A 7,721-nucleotide genomic window follows, 5' to 3' on the forward strand; every position below is an offset into this window, starting at 1 on the left:
GCAGCCTCTGCCTCCCGGGTTCCAGCGATTCTCCTGCCTCAGCCTCCTGGGTAGCTGGGATTACAGGCGCCTGCCACGACGCTGGCTAATTTTTTGTATTTTTAGTAGAGACGGGGTTTCACCATTTTAGCCAGGATGGTCTCGATCTCCTGACCTCGTGATCCACACGTCTCGGCCTCCCAAAGTGCTGGGATTATAGGCGTGAGCCACCGCGCCTGGCCTTTTTTTTTTTTTTTTTCTTTCAGAGTCTTGCTCTGTCGCCCTGGCTGGAGTGCAGTGGTGCGATCTTGGCTCACTGCAGCCTCTGCCTCCCGGATTCCAGTGATTCTCCTGCCTCAGCCTCCTGGGTAGCTGGGATTACAGGCGCACCCCACGATGCCGGCTAATTTTTGTATTTTTAGTAGAGTCAGTGTTTCACCATGTTGGCCAGGCTGGTCTCCCACTCCTGATCTCAGGTGATCCGCCCGCCTGGGCCTCCCAAAGTGCTGGGATTACAGGCGTGAGCCACCGGGCCCGGCCTCACAGAGGCACTTTTACAGAGGAGTGCCTGGTGCTGGACAGGTAACAAGTCCACATACTCTGGGCAGCGCCAAACACCCTGTGGAAACTACATGGCCACGGCAGTCACGCCTAGAATCCTTTGTGCGGTGTTCACATAGAATGCTTTGGCCCCCATTGTGCCACTCAGGGCACCTGCCTTGAAATACCCGCGACGCTCGGATCGGAGTCTGACGATGGTCAGCAGGTGGCACTCTCGTTTTAGGATTCCAGCCCCTAAGTAAGTAACAAGGGAAAATTTCAGGCCCATATAAAAATTTATTTATATATTTTTTTCTCTGCCAAGCCAGAAATGTACTCCATTTTCTTTAATCAGGTTCATTTACTTCCTACTGTGGGACTTCAATTGGGTAATAGTCAACCAGACTTCTCCCCCTGGCTACTTTCTTTCCTAGAGCAGGGTATTTACGTTTGAGATTTGCCGGAGTTTGGGAGCTGTATGTGAAGGCCTGGCAGAAACAACAGAAACGCTGTGTTTTACACGCAGAGCTCGACTGGCCCTCCCCGTTAGCTCCAAGTGGCCTCGTGCAGACACAAGGGCGCATCTGGCCGGGGCTATGTTTACCCTGGGGTGCCCAGACTGTGTCTGCTGCCCTGTCTGAGACCAGCAGAGCCCACAGGAGGGAGCCCCAAAGCTGGATGAAAGTCGCGGCAACAAGGCGAGGGAGGCTGAGTCTGAGGCTGAGGGCTCTAAGCTGCGCCTTGGTTTCCTCCTGCGAGGTGCAAAGGGCATGGACAGCTACAGACAGCAGTGGGAGCACTGGCTCACTCACTCCTTCACTCACTCATTCATTCAGCAAATACTCATGCAAAGCCTCCACTATTCCAAAAACTCCATTTTGTTTATGGTATCAGCCAGCGTTCAGCCAGGGAACAGAAGCCACACCAGTTATCTGAAGAGAGACAATGTAATAATAAAGAATTGTAAACCATGCATTCGGTTGAAGCTGGGGAACTAAAAAAACAAAAGGATAATGGTGGATGCCAGGGAGGAGGTAACAGCAGGGAGCGGCTGCCACCCCTGAGGCTGGAGACACCAGGACCTAAAAGCTCAGGGGCCCGCAGAGCTGCTCAGCTGCTGCCGGTCTCCGGGTGTGTGTGATGAGGTTGGTTCTGTGAGTGTTAGGAACACTGCAAACTGGATTCAGCTGCTGCTATGGTGAGGGACTGACACGGCTGGGAGGGAGTGTGAACACTCAAGAATGGGGAATGGACAGGAAAATCAAGTCCCTCCTTGCTCCCCTCCTTACCAGTTCCTTCTAGCACCTTCCACTGGCACAGCCTGACAGGAAGCTGGAGGCACAGCAAGGATGTGGCTCACAGTTCAACCCCACCCTCAGAGGGCAGAGCGCGGACGGGATTTGGAGCCCTGAGACAATAGTTGAGTCCCTGGCACACTCACAGAACCGCATTCTCACCCCCCTGGGCTGTGACCCAGCCTAGCAGTGGCGGGAGAGGGAGCGAGTGGGACTGGAGTATTGGTCCTCAGCACATGGCTCCCAGCCTAGACGGGAGAAGGGAGTCGGTTGACTCATTTCCTTTTATTGCTCAAATGTGACATAAAATTTCACTAAAGGTCACACCATAGCACAGCTTATTTCCTCTCTTTTGCCAGAAGTTCCTTATAAAATTTCCTCACTCTATCTTGTCACAGCCCCCGCACCCATGACATCTTCATGGTCTCTTAGTATGGTTTTACTTTTCATACAAATCGGATCCAAGGGGAGGGAAGCATGTCAAAATGCCACTGTGGGTCTTTTGTTGCATGAAAATGTACATGTTGCGTTGAATTAATGCACTTTTAAACTAGACCTAGCTACTATGCTTTTCAACAGCTTTCATCATGATGGTAACATCTTCCTTGTTAAATCTAATCAATTTCATAGGTATTGGCATTTCCATTCTTTGATAGGATGTTTACTTATGCATTTTTTTCTTTTCTTTTTCTTTCTTTTTTTTGAGACAGTCTTTCTCTGTCACCTAGGCTGGAGTGCAGTGGCATGATCTTGGCTCACTGCAGCCTCCGCCTCCTGGGTGCCTCAGCCTCCCGAGTAGCTGGGATTACAGGCCTGTGCCACCATCCCCAACTAATTTTTGTATTTTTAGTAGAGACGGAGTTTCGCCATGTTTGCCAGGCTGGTCTTGAACTCCTGACTTCAGGTGATCCACCCACCTCAGCCTCCCAAAGTGCTGGGATTACAGGCGTGAGCCACCGAGGCTGGCCTGCATTTTTTCTTTATTTTTTTGAGATGGAATCTCACTCTGTTGCCCACGGTGGAGTGCAATGGCACAATCTCGGCTCACTGCAACCTCCGCCTCCTGGGTTCAAGCGATTCCCCTGCCTCAGCCTGGGATTACAGGTGCCCGCCACCACGCCCAGCTAATTTTTGTATTTTTAGTAGAGACAGGGTTTCCTAGCTAATTTTTGTATATTTAGTTGAGACAGGGTTTCACCATGTTGGCCAGGCTGGTCTCGAACTCCTGACCTCAGGTGATCCAACTGCCTTGACCTCCCAAGTTGCTAGGATTACAAGCGTAAGCCACCACACCTGGCCTGCATTTTTTCTAAATTTGGGGAAAGTAGAGGTAGAAGGGATTGGGAAGGTTGAGGTCCAAAGGAGAAAAAACGGAAGTGAACGGGAAATTATTTTGAAGACTACGTGGCCACTGCCTTTTATCTAAGAAATGCATTGGACAACAAGCAACAATGGGCAAGACCAACCTGAAGCCTACAGTGGCTGAGAGAGACAGGAAGGTGGGTGGTTGGTGAAGGAAAGATACCAGACCAGAATTTTTTTTTTTTGAGACAGAGTCTCCCTCTGTCTTCCAGGCTGGAGTGCAGTGGCACCATCTTGGCTCACTGCAAGCTCCGCCTTCCAGGTTCACACCACTCTCCTGCCTCAGCCTCCCAAGTAGCTGGGACTACAGGTGCCCGCCACCACGCCCAGCTAATTTTTTGTATTTTTAGTAGAGACAGGGTTTCACCGTGGTGTCGATCTCCTGACCTCGTGATCCTCCCACCTCGGCCTCCCAAAGTGCTGAGATTACAGGCGTGAGCCACCGTGCCTGGCCACCAGACCAGAAATATTTAAGATGAAGGTTATGTCTGGTTTATCTTTGGCAATATATTGCCTTCTGCTTTTTCTTATGCTTCACAGCCCAGAAGCTTGAAAACGACATTTCCCCTTCTCCCTTGCTACAGGTGCTTTGCATACATCTTTAATCCTATCAATGAGATAAACTCACTTGATATTTGGAAAGTGGAAGCGTGACAGAAGCCCTGTTTTGTCTCTTTCTCTGGAAGTTATGGTCATGCTCTCGCCAGACAGGAGTTATTCAGCAGCCTCAGCCTCGACATCTTGTTTATGTCATGTCTACAGAGGGTCTGTGAACTCTGTAGCAATTGTCTCTAGTTTCATCCACTCTAGGCAACATCAACTCTTAACTCTAACAGCAAACCTGAATGTCATGGTGGCCCCTAGATTGTTGCTCCTTTAGACTTCCAATAGTGTGATAAGCACCCAGGCCCCTCCATGAAATCCCTTCCTGCTTGACCTAACTAGAATGGTCTTTGTTTTCCTGAGCAAACCCATATTCATTCTGAGGATGGGAGGAAATATAGACAAAAAGGCATACCCCACCATAAAGTCACTTTATTCAACAGGGTTAGTCTTATTTTACCACATTTACTAGGTAGACAAGTTTTAAGAAGCTCAGGAGACCATATTCTATACATTTCTTGATGACCAAAGTTAGATTTAGATAAATATTGAGAGATGAGAGATGCAGAGACCTCTTTGCCCTGCCAGAGTTTAAAATATCCTTATAGTGTCTTTAGTATACAAGGGACAGCTGAGGTGAAAATGAGGAGAAAATGGCTTTTTTTTTTTTTGCCAATATGATCCAGGCAATGCAAATAAGAAACAAGTGGAGGGTTCCCTCTTTCATTGCAGATGACAATAACTGAGAGTCACTTTTCATGTAGTAGATCTGGCTCAAGACTTTTATGAAATGTGAAATTTAATATTCATTCCTGAAATGAGGATTCATCTCTTTAAAAGCTGTTCACTATTTCACTCCAGATGTAAGTACCCACATGGGATGGATTGAGGTGGCCACATCAATTCTGTCTTCCCAGGGGTTCCTGATAATGTAGGGAAAGAATTTAGTCCCTGAGACTTTAAATTGTTTTGAAGAGTGCTTGCCACAGATATGCTTTTTCTCTCTGCTCTATTTCCCCCTCTTTATCTTTTTAAAAAAGTTTTAATCTGTTTTAAAGATGCATTATCTTGTGAGTTTGTAAATATAAAAGTTTTATACATTGGAGAGAGTTAAACAAATGCTTTATTATAGTGTCTCATTTATGATTTCTTGCATAAGTTCTTTCAGAGTAAATACTGAAAAGTCAAAGGACCTGTCAAGATCATCGGCCATGACAGTGGCTGGATGGAGGCCACCTCATCCATCTGGTCCTGGCATTTCTGAGAAAGGACCATGCTGAACCATGCAGAGCAAATTTGCAAGGTTATAATTCTTTGATTTGGGTAAAGTGTCTGGTGTTGGAGCTGAGAGGCATCAATGGATAATACTTTTTATGCTATTTGCTCTTCTTTAGTGCTATCTCATGGACTGCCTCATTGGTTGTCACAATAATACTGTGAGGTAGGTAGAACAAGTATCAGCATCCCCCGTTTGACCTCATGGGAAGCAGACACAATTTTTTTTTGTGTGTGTGATGGAGTCTCACTCTGTCACCCAGGCTGGAGTGCAGTAGCATGATCTCGGCTCACTGCAACCTCCATATCCCTGGTTCAAGCAATTCCCCTGCCTCAGCCCCCTGACTAGCTGGGATTACAGGCACCTGCCACCACACCTGGCTACCTTTTTTGCATCTTTTGTAGAGACGGGGTTTCACCATGTTGGTCAGGCTGGTCTCGAACTCCTGACCTCGTGATCCACCCACCTTGGCCTCCCAAAGTGCTGGGATTACAGGCGTGAGCCACTGCTCCCGGCCGCAGACACACTTTTCTCTACAGTGTGAGAGAGAGGTGCCCTGTTTGGCCAAAACCAGGAGTAGCACAGAGTCTGCCCTGCACTTTTGGTGTCACCCTAATAATCCTTGGGAAAATTACAGAGTAAGACAAAAAGAAGAACCTTCAAGAAAAGTAGGAATCAAACACTGCGAGCTATTCTAATTCTAAAGGGTCAAGAGAATAATAGCTTTATCCTGTCACCTAAACAGTTGGGATTCCATTTGAGAACCAACTCTAGTCAGCCTTCAGGCTGGTCCATGATCAAGGACCTACAAGACGAAGTGACAGCCCAGTGACTCTACAAGTTCACCTGTCCCTCATCTCCACAGCCCTGCAGCATCAATGGGCATGCTGTGAATGCTGGAGGACTGACCAGCATGCCCCGATTGTTCTCTATTACTTGGAGTGTTAAGTCTTATCTCCTTGGCTAGATTGAAAGAATCGGGAATAGAAGCTATATGCTAGAAAGCCATGCACAGCCAGCCACTGTGGCTGTCCTACCTGGTAGCCCAGCTCACATGAGACTGACCCAGGACACCACGGGACCACTCCAGACCCCCTGTTAACCTTTCCTGGCACATCCAAGCAAAGGGCTGATACTCACTGCAAGGTGGTGCCCCACCTTTCCACAGCCCATCACCACCACCACCCTCTTCTCCAGAATCTAGCTCTTTAGGCTAATATGGAAATGAAGAAAAGAGGATTTGTCCACGCATGTGACTGAGGAGATAGTTGGAGAGATGGTCTTAGGGAAAGGTGGGTACAGTGAGGCAAATGTCACCGTTTTCTCTCTCTCTCTCTCTCTCCCAGTCTATCTTTGCTTATCTTCGTAAATTGGCTTCTTTCCCTCACCCTAATCCAAACAGATTAGATCTATTTGTCATGGGGTACTGCTAAAACCAGGCTTATGTCCTGTCAAGAGTAGCAACCCCAGAGGAAAGAGCCGCTCACTCCTGCTTCAGTATAGAGAATTCCCAGGGCCAATTCTCATTGGCCCAGCTTGGGTGACATTTCCCTACTTTGACCTGTCATCAGGTGTGAGGCTGGTGTTAGGATTTTGCAGGGCGGTTAGTCGGGTGTTCAGGAATATGATTGGAATCCCCACCACAAACCCAGAATCAACAGGAGCTGGGGCAAATCAACAGGAGCTGGGGCAAATCAGCAGGAACTGGGGCAAGGCAGTCTTCCAAAGGAAGGGACTATTGATGATGCAGACACCAACTGTCTACCATGATGGTTTGTTCTGAAGAGTAACATATGATTTGTGCAGCAGAATTCCTCATAATAATGAAGAAAACAATGAGAGATCATGAATGTTTGACCCCATATATACACACACGTCTGCACAACTACCTACTGGCAAATTCTCCTGGGGTGAGCAGTGGAATTCAGTTCAGAAGTGATCTTTTTTGGCAGAAACAAGTCAGGAGGAATTCTACGTGAACACCATCGGCCCTTGGTGTTATGCCTGGCTCAAGCCAGCATTATCTGTCATTCAGTTTCAGGAGCATCTGACACACCTTTTCATGCTGAGAGCTAATTGCCCTATTTTCAAACCTGGACCTGTCCCTCCAGTGATATTTTTCCAATTGCAGTGATATATTTGTGTAGCCAGCAAGCACTGCCAAAGCTATAGCTATTCTGGAGTGTCGTTGGGGTAGGGAGCAGGGGAATTATGCAGCAATACAGTAAACAAAAGTAAAGCCTCTCTGAATAAAAAGTTACAAAGCAATGGTACGCTTTCCTTAATAACTCATATAATAAAAATAGTTTGCTATCCATTTTTCTAATCTTCATGATATGAGTACACTCTGTCATGGAAGTTATACAGGAACTGCTTACTTCAAATAATGCAATGACTATATTACAAAAGTAATTAAGTGAGAACCCAAGCAGAGAAGAGCAGTATTTTAACACTTCTTCACAACCAATACAAACCAAAACAATCCATAGGTAAGATATAGGAGATAGATAAATAAAAAACCAAGACAATAGGTAGATAAAAATAAATAAGAACCATTGTAGAATATAGAGCTGGATCCCACATTTCAATATCTTCCAAAATATCATTTGTGTTGTCTTGGAAGGAGGGAATAATAGATACTCATTTTAACCTGTACTTTGGTTTTA

The 7,721-nt window shown here is 46.7% G+C and overlaps 1 long non-coding RNA gene across 4 annotated transcripts; it reads left to right on the top strand.

Annotated features, from left to right (window-relative positions):
• Positions 1 to 676: 676 nt before the first annotated feature.
• On the top strand, positions 677 to 7,323 carry LOC105371974 (uncharacterized). 4 transcript variants are annotated; one of them, XR_935122.4, is made up of 5 exons: positions 689 to 778; positions 4,512 to 4,642; positions 4,939 to 5,220; positions 5,801 to 6,347; positions 6,708 to 7,323. It is a non-coding gene; the product is annotated as an uncharacterized LOC105371974 (long non-coding RNA). The 4 variants fall into 4 exon arrangements; XR_935121.4 differs by lacking the exon at positions 4,512 to 4,642 and having other exon boundaries at positions 677 to 778; positions 4,939 to 5,082; positions 5,174 to 5,220; positions 5,801 to 7,323; XR_935119.4 differs by having other exon boundaries at positions 678 to 778; positions 5,801 to 7,323.
• Positions 7,324 to 7,721: the final 398 nt, after the last annotated feature.

This window comes from Homo sapiens, chromosome 18 (assembly GCF_000001405.40).
Source record: "Homo sapiens chromosome 18, GRCh38.p14 Primary Assembly".
In the NCBI taxonomy this organism is placed as follows: Eukaryota; Metazoa; Chordata; class Mammalia; order Primates; family Hominidae; genus Homo; species Homo sapiens.